Source organism: Homo sapiens, chromosome X, assembly GCF_000001405.40.
Source record: "Homo sapiens chromosome X, GRCh38.p14 Primary Assembly".
Lineage (NCBI taxonomy): Eukaryota > Metazoa > Chordata > Mammalia > Primates > Hominidae > Homo > Homo sapiens.
Window position 1 is genome coordinate 134543278 of NC_000023.11, and position 19261 is coordinate 134562538.

The window sequence follows — 19261 nt, forward strand, 5'->3', positions numbered from 1 at the left end:
TGATGAGTTGATAGGTATGGTGTTTTAAAACAATCAGCAAAACAATTTGCACTGCAGAGTCCTTAGGAGTTTTTTTTTTAATTGGACAGTTGCCCATATTAACGGAAATCAAAAGCAGCATACAGTCATTCAATGTCCCAGCACTGGAGTACAGCCCACTGTTTTCCTGTGTGGGGTTCCACTTTAGTTCTTGTCTGTGTGCATGCATACATTTTTACAGAGTTGTGACCACTGCCTTTTTCTGTGACCCTGGTTATTGACATCTAGTTTTCCAAGTAACATTGACACACATCTGTTCAAATCAGTTGAGGTTCCCATCATGACTGACTCATTTGGCGGGAAAACCAAATTTACATGCCAATTGGAACAAAGAAGTGTGGGTATGGGGGAACAGCGGGGGGAAAGAAATGGTGGGAGAGGATTCCTTGGACTTACAGATCATAAAACATTTCCCAATAACATTTTTAAAGGATGTATAATATTACACTGAGTGATTGATTATATATTACCCTTCTATTTGGGACACTTGGGTGGTTTTCAATGCCTAGAGTTTTAAAATGCATATAAATTACAGCCTTTGAGAGATGATTGTATTTTCTTGAAACAGGAGTCTTCTGTGTCCAGGTCCCCGCCAACAGTGTTGATGTAGTGTTCCTTTGTTGGGGGGAAAAAAAATCAGTACTGCTAACTGGAGATGCTGGATGCCTTCAAGAAAAACATTCCTGTGATTTAAATTTTTAAAAAATTATGTTCAATTCTGGTTTATCAAACAACCTGGGTATCTTGTCTCACAACTTACCGAAATGTCGAATTTTAGATTTAGAGTTAGACTAAGCTCTTCCTAGTTTAAGGGCCACGTCTGTCTAATAAACTTTATACAATGCCACGTGCACGCAGCTTCCTCACTAACAAATAACATGTGTTGGGGAAAAAATGAGAAAATAGTGGAAAGGTGCCTCCTTGGAGGTGGTAACATCGGGTCAATTAATCAGCTGAGTATAAATTGATTCACTTTATACAAGTCTCCCACACATTATGATGCACATTTAGCAACGCTGAAAAACAATTTAAAAGAATACCTTAGGGAGTTGTTAAAGAGAATTTATAGTCTGGAACGAATTGCAATCTTCTTAATTGACACAGAAATGTTTGGCTAAAATATTGCTTTATTCACATTTTTGTCCTTGGAGGAAAATCTAGGCACACTGCAACTTGGATCGTGTAAATAAAGGTACAAGGAATGTTTTAAGTCAGAAAAGGGCATCACGCAGTCAGGGGGCTGTGTGGACGAGCTCAATTTCGATGCATCTCGGGAGACCCGGGCAAAAGGCCGCTTGGATTCCGGGAGGCAACGCCCCCAAGTCAGGATCCCTTGCTCGCCGCCCCCAACCGGTCAGGATCCCTGGCTCGCGTCCCCAACCGGTTCCGTGTCTCACCTGGGTCCTGCAGGCGTCCACTGGAGGAAGCCGGATGGCGCGGGCTTGGTCTTTCAGGAAGGCTGGCTGGCACCGGGCTTCCTTCTGGCTCCAGGGGGAACCGTACAGGACGGGGAGAAAGGGGGAAGCTGGTGAGAGGCAGAAGGGGCGTCACAAGGTGGCTCTCCCACCCCCAAGTGCAAAGGCAGGCGGATGCGGGGACCTGTTCGCCGTTTGAGCCTGGAGATTGCGGGCCTGAGGGGCCCTGCGCTGGCCGGCCGGGGCGAGGCGGGAGCAGAATGGGGATTTCTAGGCCGCCGGGTCGGGCTGGTGGGCGGCGCCCCGGGAGCCTGAGGGTCCCCGCCGGCCCGGGAGGGACCCGAGCCGCCCCCGCGCACTGCCCCGGCGCAAGGGAGTCTGGGAGAGCCAGCGTCTCGGGCCGCTGAACCCGACTCCCAGCTCTAGACTTCGGAACCCCGGCCCCACCCCAAACTGGGAAACTTCTAGGGGCCCACTCCTGGCCCCGGGAAGCCCAGTTCCAGGCAGCCCATTCAGACCAGAGGAGTTTGGGTGTCTTTTTTTTTTCTTTAAGGTGACAAAAAGTGTGGGAAAGATTCCACACCTCCCTCCCCACGCCCGCCAATGGTCCTTTACCTGTCCATGTTTCAGATTAAATAATTAGCTCAAGAGATTTGCACAGAAAGCGAATTAGCCCTTTTCTAGTCAGACTGTTAAGCTCTCAGGCGGGCAACTCGGAACCCCGTTTCCTCACCGAAGGCTCAGGAGGCCAGCCCAGTGAGGGATGGAGGTGGCTTTAGAGGGCGACAGTTGTGCAGCACTCATGAGCAACAGTGCCCAGGACTTTTGAAGTCACGAAGGGCTCCTGAAATCGACAGCTCAGGTCCCGCCCCTGGGGCGACAAAGGAGTCTTGGGGGCGTGCCGCCGGGTTGGAATTGTGGTAGCAGATTTTTGGGGGAGGAGGGCGCAAAGCAGCTAGAAACGCACATCCTCATTCTGGAACTATCCCAAGGCCCCCATGCTTCTCAGCAGGCCTCGGGCTCAGATTGGGCGGGTTGGAGCCTTCCACCCCACCTTGGGTTCACCCGCCCGCAAGGCCTCGCGCCTCACCCGATCCTTCTAGAGTGCTGGAGCTCCACGGAGCCTCCCTAACCCCCCAGCAGCGGGGAAGGGAGGGCGAGGGAGTGGGGAAGAGGCCCGTTATTTTGATCTTTCCTGAATTCTTAAGTCCCTTCCATACCCAGGACATGAGCGCGTTTACCAGGAACCGCAGAGAGGTGTAAAGACTTCTTGCAGCTGCTCACCCTTCCTCTCCCCTTACTCCTTTTCCAGTCCTCCCCACCCCCCAGCATTTCGTGGGTGGGGACTGAAGATAGGTTTTCTTCGTTGTCCTGTGGGTGGTATTCTGATTGGGAAGGGATTTTTTTCAATTGTTTACATTCTACCTGAGCAGGGAAAGGGGGTGCCAAAATGAAGCATCATTCACGTCCAGTCACATATGCAGAGACGGGGCAAACGTTTGATGCAATCTTGGGTCTCGCTGCTCCCGGGGCCGACACCGCAGGCGATGGCCTAAGACTTACCTGCTGGGTAGGCCCGAACGGCAGTCCCAGACTTACCCTGGCAGCGGAAACAATACCCCAGAGCACCGATCGCTCACTGCAGAACTGTTCCCGCTGCTAGGGCACGGCTGAGCGCGGGCACCGCGTCTCTCCTCGACTCGCACCGCCTATGCGCCCCAGCCTAGCCAGGAATACTGCCCTCCCCGGACTACAGCCCTGCTGCGTGGACAAGGGCGAGGACCCGCCGGAAACAGAGACGCGAGCCCCCGCCCACCTACCTGCTCCTGAGCCGGCCTCGCGGGGAGCGGGCACCTGGTGGCAGGAACACGCGTCCGGCAGACCCCACCTTCTACCTTCCCCACGAGGGGGTATAGCAGCGCCTCACGTTTTGAACCATTTAGAACACTTCAAAACATGAATTGCTGCTGTATCCCCTCGGAGTCAATGAAGGGGGATCGATCTGGGGGTACCTGCGGGTGAATAAAGACTGGATGACTGAAGGAAGCCCCGCCCCACCCCCTGGCAAGGAATAGGGCAAAACTTATGACTAGGCCACTTCACTCCAAGTTAAGGTACTTCTTATAACTTCACCATTTGATTTCCAGGAGCTGCAGGTGGAGCCGAAAGTGTGGCTCTCAATTTTTTCCCCTGAGGATGAATCTTGGAACAACGTAGTGGGTGAAAAGCAGAGCGATGGGGGATACGAATTAGTGTGGAAGAGAATCTAATTACTTCTGAAGGTAGACGAATAAGGTTAAGTAGAGGCAATTGGACATCTGGATCATTCTTGCCAGTTTCAAAGTCTTGGTGAAACTTCTTCCTGCTGCATATTACAAGTCTCATTCATTGTCCCCATTAAAAAAAAACAAAAAACGAAACAAAAAAACAACCTTTATTGGAAATGGACTCAGATGACTGAAAGAAAATAACCAAAACCTCACCGGTAGCTTCAGCTGATTCTTACACTATCGTTGCGACATATACATCTATCTTTAAAAGCATTAGATGTCCTAACTCACTGCTAGTGTTTTTATTCTTAAACACCCCAGCTGAGTTATTTTAAAGAGCTCCAAACAATGACAGAGAACTTTCTGTAGATGAAATACCAGTTTACATATTAAACTGGTTACTCAAACTTATTTATAATTTATACCTATCAATGTCATCTATCAAAACATAAATCAAAAAGTTTAAATACTTGATGTCAAGTCGCTCCTTCCTGTTTCAAGCAGCTCCACAGAAACTTTCATGTCCTGAAATGGCCGGCACTGCGCATACTCCTTAATGATTAACTCATTAGATACCACTTTTTCCTTTTTAAAATGGACACATATTAGCAACAAGTCACATGCATGCCCTCTTTTTGTTTGAATACAATATTCAATTAAGCATTAAAAAAAAAACCCACTCTGAAATCCTCAATCACAAACCTAAAAGTTAAAACAACAAAATCAGCACTAACTGTAATGGTTTTGAAAGTTAAATACATTTCAGCACAAGTAATAGACATTTAAATTATCCAACTGTAAGTATCTTGTTACACTTACAAATTAAGTCGGTTTTTCAAAACCAGTACAATGAATGTTAAGTGTCCTATTTATTAGTTAATAAAATGTGCAGAGTATTTAATAAGATTAAGTATCGAATTTATAACATCCAGACTGAGATCCAGTGGTAACAAATACACTATGTCATGGTAAAAAAAAAAAGTCATTAGTAACAATAACCCCATTCCCTAAATTGCGACAATCAAGTATCTCTACATTCCATCTTGTTTTGGCAATGATATTTACAAACAACTTTTACACTGACTTTGGGATTAATGGAGAAAAATGTCGTTGACTGCCCTTAAAAAGAAAAAAAAAACATGTTTAGCAAATGTACAATTATCATGTAAAACTCCACAACTTTCTCCCAACATTTTGTTCCACACAAATATACGAGCCATCATGTCAGAAGTTAAAGTCATGCCTAATTTAACATTTCCTTAGTTGACTACTTAGAAAAACAAAAGTTCATTCGAAACAGCATCGGTGTCAAAGGCGAAGGTCCCTTCCAGATTGCTCTTGGAATCAAATTCATTTATACCTTTCACCCTAACCCCTTTCATCTCTCCCAGTGATAGTACAACGAGTTACACCCCTAAAAAGCCACCTCGATCCCCTAGTTTACATATTTCCCCTTAGACTGAAATTTACTTACGAAAAGAGATTACAAAGGGGCGTCTTGTCACTTCAGGAGAGGGTCATTCACTGATACAATAGACAAAGAATCGATACTTTCGAGTTGCCATAGCCCCACCCCCTTCTGAACTGCAATGTGTTTGGCTAAATGATTTAAGAGCCAAAGAATACGCCTCTTCCTCTGTTCATACTCTACAACGTTTTGTCTTTTAATTTTGCATATGCCTTCGTCCCCCACACCCCAAACACACGATGTACCTTCTCTCGGCGCATTCTAGCCAAACTTCCACAATGTCAAGTCCCTACGGGGAAAACTAAACAACCTTTAAAGTTTTAATTCGGGAGAGACAATGTGAAATTAATCACACATTTCTTTCCAAGACATAACTAACTTCTTGCAAATAAGAGGAAAAGTTCATTTACATTCTGTCAAAACCAGTCGCTCCCGACCCTAGCGAGGCTGACAGTCGGTCACTGCCCCTTACTCAGTTTTCTCTCCCCGCCCCTCCATGTTAGTTGTTGTTTTTTTTTTCCCAGTCCGTTTCCTGAGAATTTCCCGGCCGCACTCATTTGTTAAACACTTTAAATGTCAGATTTGCCCCCATCCCGCCCGCAAAACGTGCTTTACAACCCCCCCAAACGCCACAGCACTTTTTTCAGAATTATCACCAGATGTTTTTCTGCCTGCCGTAACCCACGTTACAGTCGGGAAAGACGCCAGCCACCAAGTCCCTTTTTAAAAAATCGCATGTCACCTCTGGCTCCACTCGAAAATGGCGCCGAAATCGAAGAACTTCTTAAATTTCATTGCAAGCTTTTTGCAAAGGTTTCTGGGATTTGCCTGCGAAGCTGTTTCGCCGCGTCCGAGAGCGAGCGAACGTGCAAGCCAGCGAGGGAGACAGGGAGGAAGGAAGGGCTGGGGAGGCGGAGAGACAGACCGAGCGAGCGACACACGGACAGCGACGGACAGCGACAGAAGCGGGGCCCGGGACTTGGGAGACGGCGAGGTTGCGGGGCGCGAGGTGCTGGGCACGGAGCTACAGGGACGGAGAGCCGAGAGCCGGGGTCGCAGCGTGGAGGGGGCGCTGGCTGCTGCCGAAGCTCGGAGAGCGGCGTGGCGGAGGCGGAGCGGAGCCGAGCGAGGGGCCAGCACGGAACGCTCCCTTGGAGGCGAGCGGCGCAGCCGGCGGAGAGGCTCCCGGAGCCGCCCTAGAAAAAGCCGGCTCGGGGGGCGTGGCCACGCGCTGTGGCGCTCCCCGCCCCCCGGTGGCCCCGCTCGGCTCCGGGGCCCGGGGGCGGAAGGGGGGAGGGGAGGAGAGGAGCTGTAGGGAAGGGGGTTGTGCAGGCGCTCGACGCCGCAGCCTTGGCCCGCTGCGGGGGAGGGCCGAGAAGGGCACTGGGCGCCCAGAGTAACCAACACCGAGACGAATAGCGAGGGCTCGGGGAGAAAAAACGGAGGATGGCAAACGGCAAAGCCAAGGGCACGAGGTAGCGCAGCGCGCACCCAGAGGCTCCTGGGACGGACACCACCCCACGCTCACGGGTCCTCTGGCGGTGTCCTTTGAGCTGCCGGGACGGCGCAAGGTGGCTGAGCGAAGCTTTTTGCTCGGTGCTTACAGGGAGTACCTGAGATGGTTTGGGAAAGGAAACAGGGGGTCTCAGACCGCTTGGGTGCAGCGCTCTCCCCATGCGTTTGAGTGCAGATCTGTCGAGACGCCCCAGCCCTCGCCACCCCACCAAGCTCTCAGGTAGAGAGGCCCCGGGACAGGGTGAGCCCCATAGTCCTTTGGTGGGCATAACACAGAGGGAGGAGCAATTGTTTACACATGTGCCCAGTACAAGAAGGGAAACTGATATTTAAGACTGAAGTGGGGAAACGGGAGGGAAAGGAGCCCTTATCCTGGATGTTAGACGCTATTAAGGACCATGCTATTTTGTATTTGTGAGAATGATATTGAAGGTAAGGAGGTCCTTATCCTTGAAGATGCATGCTGAAGTGTACAGAAGTGAAATGTCACGATGTCTGCAGTTTTCAAATGATGCAGCTAACATACGCACACATTATGAGAGAGAGAACAGAAAGGAAGCAAGTATTGCAATATGTTAACAGTTGTTGCATCCTGTTGGGGGTGGGGGGTAAACAGACGTTCGTTGTACCGTTCTTTCAACTTGCCTAAATATTTGCAAAATGCCATAATGAAAATTTTGGAAGAGTTCCCTTATAAAATAGTGCCTGAATGCTAAGAAAATGAACGCGGCTTCTTTTCCTTTCCCTGTCCCGGGTGGGACAAATCTGCGAGCAAGCAGGGCTCAAGGCCAGCGGGGTCTGGACGGGAAGAGCAATGGGTAGAGCCGGCCTGCAGCTGCCATAGCCCTGGGCAGGCCAGGAGGGGCCATCGGAGCCTCGGGGCAGATAGGCTGCCGGGCGCAAAACTATGCGGAGGAGCAGCCGAGCGCGTTGGCCCCGGGGGCGGTGCGGGGTGGGGACTTCCTGGCGGCTCTCAGCAACCCCTGGTCCGACCAGACTCGGTGGGCTCGGCTGCACCACGGATGAGCAAAGAAACCGGCGGGCCGCGGGAACTGAGCCGCGCGCCTGCAGCCGTCGCCACGGCGGCCCGCGGCCTTCCCCCGCATTCCCCGAGGGAGGCCGTAGTTGTCGCGGCCTGCAGACAGCGCGCAGGGTAGCCCAGAACCGCGTGCGGGCGCTGGGGGAAAAAAAATTAGGTGCCGAAAGAAAGCAGCAACGCACGCGCGCGCACACACACACGAAATCAGTTTACAAAAATAAAACCGCGGAATCTGCCGTGCTCGGCGCCCGAGTTTGAGCTACTTAACTCTCGCATGCATTTTACTGTCATATTTCTGTAGAGCTGATGGAAAATCTGAAATGTTTTTGCAAGGGCGATCTCGCAGACCCAAGGCGTTGCAAGCGTTGCGCAGCCTTTCGCTGGCGTCTGCGGCTCTTTTCCGGGGCGCGAGGAGGGAAAAGAGTAGTGTCTTTCAGGGTCTGCAAAGCTGTTTTGAAAAGTTAACCAAAAAGGTTTTAAATAGCAAGATTTTCTTTTCAGGAAAAGTTTTTAAAACGGCTGATACTCGTCCAGTTTTGGTGGGCGCTAAAAAGTCTTATTACTAAGCTACAAGTTTCCCTGTTAAGATTTTCAAAACCCCTCGTGGACAGGGCTGAAAGTTTGCCGGGCTGTGAGACGTGACTGAACACGCTTCTAAATCCTCAGATAGATCATTTATAAAGCTCTGGTGCCCTTGGGATGAAAGGCTTCGCTGAGTTTTTAAGACTTGCCTTCGTGGGTAAATTTGCTTGGGTTGCTACACGTAAGCATTCATTTCCCCACCTAAATTAGTAAAAGGGCAGAAGATTCCAACGACGTAAGATAAAAGTTGGGTTTATGGCATGTTCTCTAAAGACAAATTGCAACAGCTTTCTTTATTAAACTCCTTTTGCTACCTCAGCAAATTGGAGAGCCAGTTGAATATTGATGAATTCTTTGAGGGTGAGTAATATTGCTACAGGCCGGAGAAAGTAAGGGAGGACAAGCTTAAGCATTTACTCAAGTGAACAACCTTCAAATGTTTTTCAACTATGATGTCTCAAGGATTTTCTTAGGACCTTTGAAGCAAACCCTGATTCTGCAAATGGCTTCTTATTTGGTAGGCCCTTCCCAACCTGACAAAACTCACAGGATATAAATTGCCCTAAGAAGTGGTGAGAAACTTACCCTAGCATTGGAAACAGGCACAGCCCACCACCTGGGGTGTTAGGGGGGCCTCCAACTGGTAGTCAGGCAACTTCTCACGGGGCAACTAGGAACCTGAAATGAAAATTGCACACCATCTATTGTTTTTTTTGGTCCCTTCTGAAATATTGTTTCAAGGCAGCTGTTTTCAGGAAAATAGCACATATTTTCCTTTCTCTTTTTGTTCCGTGAAACGTTCGGAAATTATATTGATAAGGAATAATCATAGTCCGCCGAGGGAGCAATAGCTTTGAAGGCTCTGAAGGCACAGCTGAGAAAAATAAATTAGCTCTAGACTAGAGATACTCAGCAAGGAAGTTATGCATAACATGGTATTTGGCATAAATTTTGGAAAATGTTTTCTGGAAAGCAACTGTGAATGAATCTTGGGAAATAGATACTGGAGAATCAAGTTGCATTAAAACTTATTTTTTTGTAAATTACAAAGAAGATTTCTAGAACTTTCCATTTTTATTTTAACTAGAAATGGTGTTTAAGATTGTGTTTTTAATGAAGGCCTTGAGTTAGGGAAACAAGATTTTCCTTATGTTGTAAATATCCAGAAGTCTTTAGAGAGATAAAATCAGGATAGAGTTACAAATTTAACAGAAAGAAAACAACTGGAATTGTGTTATGAAGCTTCTATTGTGTTTTTTTGTAAAGGCTTTTTTTCATGGTTCAAGCAGTGGCTAGCAGTGAGTAGTAACTGTATACTATAATATATAATGTAAGAATGCTTGTCCTACTCTCAGATTAAACAAAAAAGACAGTGTCCTTTGGTAATTTTTATTTTATGAAATTAGTTATAAAAATAGTTATTTGCAAAACTCAGAACTTTGGGAGAAAAACTCTAATCTTAACTTCTCCTACCCCCGTGATCCCATCAGGAAAAAGTAGAATGAATTAGTAAATTTTTCCTTTCTGCCAAAGAGAAGCTTAGTAAGTCATTAGTAGCTGTTGCTTTTGATTTCTAGATCTCTTTTCCCTCCTCAAAGACGCAGAATCACTGCCTTCAGTGCTGCCTGGATTTCTTCTTTAAACCAGGCTTTTTTTTTTTTTTTTCTGGGTGTGTACTATTATTGTCTTAATTATTCCTGGATTTTTGCCCATTAAATCAAAAATTGTCTCAGATGACGGCAATGATTGGAACTTTTTGCTAAGGAGGGCGAGAATGAAGGGGTGTAGGACAGTCTCAGCGTCTCTTTACACCGTGCTGGCCCTATAGTGCAACCTGTAAGTGGGCAGGACTTGCTGTCCTTTGCACAGAGCGTGAACTGACAGAGCAAAATGTAATGACAGGAGCATGGAGACCAAAAACCCATCTCTTGTAGGTGTGGTGGCCATAATGGCGGTTCAAGTATAGTACTAGGCTAGATTTAGTCACTTGCTTTCACCATAAAATTATGGTAATCAGTTTCACCTCACACTTCTAGAACTTTCCTCGAACTTCAGCTAATTACGAAAAAGAGAAAAGAAAAACCCCAATATATCAGTGTCAACCTGTCAAATGCAATCTTGTTGAGGGAAACTGAAGTGCCTTTGGAAGGCACTTCATTGATATCAAAAAAATTGAAACAAACAAACAAAAACACCAACCAAAAGTGATCAGCACCAAGGATATCCTGTAAAAAGCACAGAGCTCTGCTTTGTGATGTCTGAATGACATCGCTTTTGGGATCTTGTTATGTGAAAAGAAAACACTCCTCGGGGCAAATAATATCTTGCTGGGTAGAAAGAATAGGAGGGAACAACAAATTGAAGAGTGCTAAGGGATGCTATCCTTGTTCAAAACCAAGATGCAGCTGGAGTGTTTTCCAAAGCATGAAATACATTGTTGAAATAGCAGAGAGAAAGTGAATGTGCATATCTGAAATGTTCACATGAGAGATGGTAACACGGCATCATCCAGAACTGAACTCACTCGTGGTTGCCATTCTTTCCCCTGAAGCTCCGTTTGCATTTTAAAAAATAAAACTTAAGAGATAGAGTGTCAATTCGCCGGGCATGGTGGTGGATGACTGTAATCCCAGCTACTCGGGAGGCTGAGGCAGGAGAATTGCTTGAACCCGGGAGGTGGAGGTTGTAGTGAACCGAGATCGCACCACTGCACTCCAGCTTGGACACGACTCTGTCAAACAAACAAACAAACAAAAAAAACAGCGATAGAGTGTCTAGGACTGATGGATAATGTCATTTCTTTTGCTTCCTGTTTCTTAAAATTATTCTTGGGCTTACGATCGGGTGGGATTTTGCAGTTCATGACCAGAGTAAGTCCCAGCCCTCCGTGTAGAAGAGGAAGTAGAAATCCAGATCCTGTTTTTAATTTTAGCATTTCTCCTAAACCCAGGGCTTGACAGCTTCTTTAGTCCAGAGTCCCCAGGAATGCCTACGCCATAGGCAGGGAAGAGTGAAAATGAGAGTAGGGTGGAGAGCAAGGGCCAGGGCAGAAGACAGAAAGAAAGAAGATGAAAGAAGAGAAAAAAAAAAACAAGTCCTTCTCCTCTGTCCCTACTATCTGTCCTCAAGTTCAGAGTCTCCACTTGCCACCATGATGTCATCAAGGTGACCTTCTCAGGCCCCCCACTGATCTCTCAGTTGAGTTCTGCTCCTCTCCCAGTGGTCCACGGAGTTCTGCTGGGAAAACACAATTCTGGTCATATTAATCCTCGGCACAAAAGGCAGATGACTAAAAAGCTTAACTCCTTAATGTGGCATTCAGGGCATTCTACAATCTGGCTCCAATCTGCGCTTCTGCTTGCATCTCCTACCCTCCAGCCACACCTTCTTTATGTGTTTATGCTGGATACCCCTGTTCCTCCCATTTCCGCATCCTTCTTAGGCCCAGCTCAAATGCCACCTCTTCCTTGAAGCCTTCTCAGATGGCCTCAGAGTTGGAGTTAACTGCCTCTGTCCTGTCCTGTCACGGCACTTTAATTAACTTAGTTGTTCTGAAATTCTCTTCCTAGCAGACAGTAAGCTCCTAGAGGGTAGGGACATGTCTGTCTATAGGTATCTTCTCAGCGCTTTGCACAATAATTTGCATCCGTTGATGTCCAATACATATTTGTTTTTTTGTTTTGTTTTTTTTGTTTGTTTTTTGAGATAGAATCTCACTCTGTCGCCCAGCCTGGAGTACAGTGGTGCCATCTCGGCTCACTACAAACTCCGCCTCCCAGGTTCAAGCAATTATCATGCCTCCCAAATAGCTGTGATTACAGGCACGCACCATCACACTCGGCTAATTTTTGTATTTTTAGTAGAAACGGGGTTTCACCATGTTGACCAGGCTGGTCTCAAACTCCTGACCTCAAGTGATTCACCTGCCTTGGCCTCCCAAAGTGCTGGAATTACAGGCATGAGCCACTGTGCCCAGCCAAGTTAGAAAGAAATCCAATACATATTTGTTAACTGAACGTATACCTGAGAAGGGAAAAAAGGAACCGGAAGAAGTGAGAACAAGGTGCTGTGCTGGCGGTAAAGATGATGGCTAACATCCTCAAGAGTTGGCTTAGGCACCATTTGGTGTTCTTGGTGCTGACCAAGGGTTGTTGAGCTCATATCTAACATGTTGGCTTCACAAACATCCATCTGGGACTGACACTTGGAACACATCCTCTGGAATAATATAGAATTAATTTGCTTTTAAATTAGCTGCTCAGTACTATAAACTCTCTCCTGAAAATCTATCACCATCATTTTATACTTTTAAGCTTCAAGCTGATCCTTGAAGGGAAGGTGGAATTTGGATGGAATGGGCAAAACAGCATTTTCAGAGGCCAGGAGGCAGAGAAGAACTGAAAGGAGATGGACCTAGTTGGACAGAGCCTTTCTACTGGGGAATTAGAGACTGGGCTGGACAAGTAGGGTGATGTCAGATTATTGGGGGGTGGGGAGGCAGGCGCGGTGGCTCACGCCTGTAATCCCAGCACTTTGGGAGGCCGAGACGGGTGGATTGCTTGAGGCCAAGAGTTCAAGACCAGCCTGGCCAACATGGTGAAAACCCATCTCTACTAAAAAATACAAAAACTAGCCGGGCATGGTGGCGTGTGCCTGTAATCCCAGCTACTCGGGAGGCTGAGGCAGGAGAATGGAGAGTAGCTTAAACCCAGGGGGCAGAGGTTGCAGTGAGTGGAGATCGTGCCACTGCACTCCAGCCTGGGTGACTGAGACTGTCTCAAAAAAAAAAAAAAAAAAAAAAAAAAAAAAAAAAAAAAAAAAAAAAAAAAAGAGGCTGGGCATGGTGACTCACGCCTGTAATCCCAGCACTTTGGGAGGCCAAGGCAGGTGGATCACGAGGTCAGGAGTTCAAGACCATCCTGACCAAGATGATGAAACCCCGTCTGTACTAAAAATACAAAAATTAGCCGAGTATGGTGGCAGGCGCCTGTAATCCCAGCTACTCAGGAGGCTGAGACAGGAGAACTGTTTGAACCCGGGTAGCAGAGGTTGCAGTGAGCCGAGATTGCATCACTGCGCTCTAGCCTGGGCGACAGACTGAGACTCTGTCTCAAAAAAAAAACAAAAAACATTATGGGGGGTCTGGAAGTAGGCAGAGGAGTTGTGACTTTAGTTGCAGGATGGTATAGAACCTTTTTTTTTTTTTTTTTTTTTTTGGTGTGATGCTTTTAAAGGGGCAGGGGCGTGATGTAATGAAAGCCGTGTTTTTTAACAGATTCACCTGGCTTATATGGTATAACCCTATGAACTACAAACTATGGTAAACCTAGGACTATTTGAATAATTAGAATATCCCATTCTCCATGCCACACTGGAGTGAACTTTCTTATTTGAGAAGATAAAGAGTGGAAAAATACTATTTATCATATACCTATTATGTATCAGGAGATGTACTGGATTCTTCCCCCACCCCAGGTATTCCCTCCCTCTCTCCCCCTTCCCTCCCTCCCTCTCTCACACACTTGCACTTGCACACACCAGAAATCCCAACTAGGACTTGATTTTAATTGACCTTTAAAGTAATCAATTTTTTGTTAAATTACTCATACAAAGCATGCTATGAAATACCAGTAAATATCGGGTTAAAAATTAACTGAAAGACAGAAACTTACTATTGTGTGCTGATTTGATGGAACAGAGGAGTGAAAATATAGTACGCACCTTCTGGATTGAGACTGTGGTTTTCGTTTTTGTTTTTGTTTTTTGGTAGTGGCAGAGCTTCAAACTGGAGAATGTTCTTTTTCATGCGCAGTTTTTAAAAATTGTCATTAAATATTTTCACAAAGTTAAAACAACATTGAAAGTAACTTGGGCAACTTAGATATTCCCTGTACTTGCTGTAACTCAAATACCAAAACATATTTAGAGTTTAGGTGCATCTATCATTCGAGGCATGTGATTTCTTTACCTGGGTGAAGCGAAAGAAAGTTAAATCGATGAAATATGAAATGAAAATGAGAATCAATTTGTAGAATGAACCATAAAAGAACGAGATTTTTGAAGAGATTATTTTATTTTGATTGCAGACTGTAAATTATCACAGGGAGTTGCTGTAGGAATGACATTGAGGCTTACTTTTGGGTCAATTTGTTCCTGTCCTGACCCACCCTTGGCAGTGGAGACAGCTAGAATTTCTCTAACTCCATAGAAACCAGTCTCACTGTTGCTTTAGGACTCGATTCTCTCCCTACACTGGGCTTCCTTTAGTGCTTTGTTATGTAAATACAGCTTCAAAAATAGAATAAATATTCTGTAGGCATTACTTGGAAAACGAGCTTTTATTTTAAAGATGTGTGCTTATTTAAGTCGCAGACAGAGCTTTAAAGAGCTCTTGATAGAAAGAAATATATTTGGCGAAGAGTCAAAACTTTTAAAGTAACTTTAAAAGGTGAATAATTTACATTCGTATAGTGTTTACATAATAGGGTGTGTACGACAAAGCCAAAACAACATTGAAAATAACCTGAGCAATTTAAATATTCTTCCTAGTAACTGTAAAATAAAAGTGCCTTCGAATGGTACATTTGCTGGCAGGAAATTTTTTTCATGTTCCCAGGTGGCAAGGATTCTTTCATGTTCCCTTATATTTGAAAACTGGTATTAGCGTTTACTTCTCGGACTCAGACCAATTCCCCCTTACCTGTCAGAGAACATCTAGCAATAAATGCTGACAAAGCTACATAGCAAAGGGCAAACCTGTCACTTCCCTTTCAGAAACCTGTTTATGCACCCTCCTGCAATCCCACCACCTGCCCAGGCCAAGTGAGCCCCTCTCCGCTACTGGTGTTTCATAATGCTGGGAGCTACTTTGATTTCATGCATTGCCCTTCAGGTAAGCCACAGGAACCTCACCACTGGCCATGCCAGATGGTTGTGAATTGGATAAGAACAAAGAAAAATGGAAGTAGCAAGTGGTGGGGAGTTTAGTGTACTATATGACTTACTCATATGCAAGTCAATAAGCAAAGTCCCCTGCCTCTTGTCCTTGGATGCTGGATAATAATAAATATAAATATACATAATATATATGCGTACATATATACATGCATGCACACACACACAGACACACATTACCTGGATCCCCCACCTCCTCACCCCACTTTGAAAAACTTTAGAGTATCGTTGGCCTCATCAGAATTACATTACATTAGAGGATTGTTGAAAGATTTCATATTACTGCTAATGTGGGGAACATAATTAGAACCAACGTTAGCGCCTCTACTCAGTATCATCATTGCTATTATTTTATTTACATCTTATGCTTTTTTCCTTTGGCTTTAACTGTCTTCATCAATCTCCTGTTATAAAAATAAATAAAAGCTTCCTATGGAATTATTTTCACCAGTCAAGTCCTGTAACTTGTTTTCCTTGAAGAGGGAAAATATAACTGATGGACACAAGGAAACAGCAGTGGCATAGCATGTCCTTTTCCACCCAGTCTGTGTTTTGACATCAGTTGTATTTACACACATAAACTGAAGAACGTTGCATTTGTGGAGTTTGCCAGTGTGGTAAGATTGAAGGGGTGGTAGGCAGCCTCTATGCTGGTCCCCACTGATCCCTGCCTTCTGGTGTTCCCACTGTTCTGTAATCCCTCCTAGTACGTGCGCTGGACCTAGAGACTCTTCTAACAAGTAGAATATGGCAGAAGCCATGGGATGTCACTTCTGTGGCTTCTAACTTGGGCCTTTTGTCATCCCCTTCCCCTTCTCTCTATCAGCTGCCATGTTATGAGGACACTTGGAGAAAGCTACAGGAGAGGAACTGAGGTCTCCTGCCATCAGCCACTTGAGTGAGCATGGGAGTGGATTCTCCAAACTCCAGTTAAGACTTGAGATGTCCACAGTGGCAGCCACTAGCTTGACTGCAACTTACGAGAGACCCTGAGCCAGAGGCACTCAGTTAAGTCATACACAGTTTCCTGACCCGTAAAACCTGTGACACAATGAAGGTTTGTTGTTTTGGGGGTAATCCGTTATTCAGCAATAGATAACGAATACAGAAGGCTTGTAATTGTATAACCAACGTGAGTTTATAAGCGGATATCTGACCTCATTTGTTTTCTCCTGAAAAAGTTATAGAAAAATCACAAGACTGCAAGTCACTCTCTCTCTTTCTTTTGTGGGGAATAAACAAGTATAATTACAATTTCTAAACCTATTGTTTTATTCTCAAATATAATTACAATTTAAACAGGATATTGTAGAGCTCCATCATAGGGATTAACACTAATTAGAATTAAAGAACGTTTTTGTGAAAGTCAGCTTTTTTTTTTTAAATAAACACTCGTCCCTTGATAATGTATTTCTTTTTCATAAAATTAAAAAAAAAATGTGGGTTGTAGTAGGTGTATATATTTATGTGGTACATGAGATGTTTTGATACAGGCATGACGTGTAATAATCACATCATGGAAGATGGCGTATCCATCCCCTCAAGCATTTATCCTTTGTGTTACAAACAATCCAGTTACACTCTTTTTGTTATTTAAAAATGTACAATTAAATTATTATTGGCTATAGTCACCCTGTTGTGCTATCAAATATTAGGTCTTATTCATTCATTTAACTATTTTTTTGTACCTATTTATCATCCCCATCCCCGGTTCCCTCCCACCACCCACCCCACTACCCTTCCCGGCCTCTGGTAACCATCCTTCTACTCTCTAGCTCCATGAGCTCCATTGTTTTGATTTTTAGCTCCCACAAATAAATGAGAACATGTAATGTTTGCCTTTCTGTGCCTGACTTATTTCACTTAACATAATGACCTCTAGTTCCCTCTATGTTGTTGCAAATGACAGGATCTGATAATGTATTTCTTATAAACGTGTGTGTGTGTGTGTGTGCTTAATTTAATGCTTGACTAAGCCTTCGTTACTGGTGAAGGAGGGACGGGTGTCTTTCTGTGCATCTCCAAAGTGGGCTATAGGTTCAAAGTAGTGAGAAAAGACTTTTTGCCCTTAACATTTACATATAGTTTACACAGTTTTCTAAAAAACCTGGTTGGCTACTTTCAGGCTACAAGAATAAAAATTTAAACGTTACTTTGAGTTTCCTTTTATGGGTCAAAAATCTCGCTATGGCCCTAAGTTTTAAATATTTGACAAGCAATTATCATAACAAACGGTTTCAGACATTTTTGGCTTTCCCAGAGATTGAAAGGTGAAAATGTTCATTTCTTTTGTTCGCAATGAAGCATTTCATCTTATTATCACAAATATGACTAACACTGTTATGGATTTTTATAAATCATGTCATCTTAAAAATTAAAGAACATTACCACAATAAAGGAGAAAAACACTCTTTTGAAGTGGCATTTCAAAAGGCAAATGAATTAGTCAATTTGAAATGCAGTTTTTTCACAAGGTGTTATCTTCCCATCTTTAGAATGGTTCCTTTAGCTTATGGACTCCCACGCCCTTTCTCATTACCAGTCAGTCAGTCAGTCACCTGGATTGACCATCTATTGGGTACCTTCACCAAGTAATGGAAAAGCAAGGCAAAGCAAACAAACAGGCTGGGTGTGGTGGCTCACGCCTGTAATCCCAGCACTTTGGGAGGCCAAGGCAGGTGGATCACGAAGTCAGGAGATTGAGACCATCCTGGCTAACACAGTGAAACCCCGTCTCTACTAAAAATACAAAAAATTAGCTGGGCATGGTGGCATGCGCTTGTAGTTCCAGCTACTCGGGAGGCTAAGGCAGGAGAATCACTTGAACCCGCGAGGCGGAGGCTGCAGTGAGCCGAGATCGTGCCACTGCACTCTAGCCTGGGTGACAGACAAAAAAAAAAAAAAAAAAAGCAAGGCAAAACAAACAGGAAACAGCCCCCACCCTGCCCCACTCAAGACATACACAATCGAATTGAGAAGATCAAACATGCACCTGAAATGTTTGAAGAACACTTTTTTCTGAGTAATGATATGCCAAGCCAACAAGTGCAGATTACTATTGAATTTTGAAAAATTATGCCTAATTATCCTGAGACATTAACCCATGCAAAATATGATCCTTGACCACAATGTTTCTTCGCATCTTTTTTTTTTTTTCTTGAGACGGGGTCTCTCTGTGTCACCCAGGTTGAAGTGCAGTGGCACAATCTTGGCTCACTGCAACCTCCACCTCCTGGGCTCAAGAAATCCTCCCACCTCAGCCTCCCAAGTATCTGGGACTACAGGCATGCAATGCACCACCACGCTCGGCTGATTTTTTTTTTTCCCGTATTTTTGGTACAAAAATGTAAACATACAGGCTGGTCTTGAACTCCTGAGCTCAAGTGATCTTCCCGCCTCGGCCTCCCAAAGTGCTGGGATTACAGGCATGAGCCACCATGCCTGGCCTGCATCTTTGTTCTTACTGCTTCCTTTGCCTAGGATGCCCTCCTCCTACATCTTCACCTGATTCAATTCTACCTCTCACTTCAGGTCCAATTCAAAGGCTCCCAATTCTGTGAAGCCTGTGCTTACTCCCTCTTGGCTTATCTGTTGTACTAGAGGCTATAGTCTACCCAACTTTCCTCCCTAGAATTTCATGAGTCATATTTCTTCCGTATCTCTGATCACTTCTCTTCTATCTATTTTGATGACTGTTCTTCTCCTGTCCTTTTCCTAACAATGCCATGAGGATTGACTATGAAAAAATTCTCTTTCCTGCACTCATGTAATTTCCCCCAAGGCTTTATCTCCCAGTAATTACATTTCTCGAGCTGATTCCTGGATATATCTACTTGGATGTCACTGTCATCTCAAACTCAACATGTCCAACCTAGATTCATCTTCCCGCCATCCTCTACCATCACCCCAATTTCCTTACTTAAATCCAGGGCTTACCATGTCTTCTGAGCTTCTAGGGCTCTTGATGGTGACATCTTCT

At 45.0% G+C, this 19261-nt stretch overlaps 2 long non-coding RNA genes and 2 other non-coding genes across 4 annotated transcripts, besides 4 other annotated features; 1 reads left to right on the forward strand and 3 right to left on the reverse strand.

The window, feature by feature from the left end:
• Positions 1–99: 99 nt before the first annotated feature.
• Positions 100–3353, reverse strand: MIR503HG (MIR503 host gene). The gene is made up of 3 exons (NR_024607.1): positions 3275–3353; positions 1437–1520; positions 100–722 (listed from the first exon to the last, which is right to left on the reverse strand). It is a non-coding gene; the product is annotated as an MIR503 host gene (long non-coding RNA).
• MIR503 (microRNA 503) lies at positions 3051–3121 on the reverse strand. Its single transcript, NR_030228.1, has one exon. It is a non-coding gene; the product is annotated as a microRNA 503 (primary transcript).
• MIR424 (microRNA 424) lies at positions 3337–3434 on the reverse strand. Its single transcript, NR_029946.1, has one exon. It is a non-coding gene; the product is annotated as a microRNA 424 (primary transcript).
• Positions 6198–6247: a silencer, noted in NCBI's record as "silent region_21011". NCBI's record gives its function as "represses an Ori minimal core promoter by ATAC-STARR-seq in GM12878 lymphoblastoid cells {active_cell/tissue: GM12878}" and the evidence as "EXISTENCE:reporter gene assay evidence [ECO:0000049][PMID:35858748]".
• Positions 6258–6537: a silencer, noted in NCBI's record as "silent region_21012". NCBI's record gives its function as "represses an Ori minimal core promoter by ATAC-STARR-seq in GM12878 lymphoblastoid cells {active_cell/tissue: GM12878}" and the evidence as "EXISTENCE:reporter gene assay evidence [ECO:0000049][PMID:35858748]".
• LINC00629 (long intergenic non-protein coding RNA 629) lies at positions 6747–17121 on the forward strand. Its single transcript, NR_038998.1, has 3 exons — positions 6747–6948; positions 15103–15220; positions 16109–17121. It is a non-coding gene; the product is annotated as a long intergenic non-protein coding RNA 629 (long non-coding RNA).
• Positions 6782–7411: an enhancer, noted in NCBI's record as "H3K4me1 hESC enhancer chrX:133684089-133684718 (GRCh37/hg19 assembly coordinates)". NCBI's record gives its function as "activates a minimal SCP1, AML or CMV promoter by ChIP-STARR-seq in primed H9 embryonic stem cells {active_cell/tissue: H9 hESC(primed)}" and the evidence as "EXISTENCE:reporter gene assay evidence [ECO:0000049][PMID:30033119]".
• Positions 7412–8040: an enhancer, noted in NCBI's record as "H3K4me1 hESC enhancer chrX:133684719-133685347 (GRCh37/hg19 assembly coordinates)". NCBI's record gives its function as "activates a minimal SCP1, AML or CMV promoter by ChIP-STARR-seq in naive H9 embryonic stem cells {active_cell/tissue: H9 hESC(naive)}" and the evidence as "EXISTENCE:reporter gene assay evidence [ECO:0000049][PMID:30033119]".
• Positions 17122–19261: the final 2140 nt, after the last annotated feature.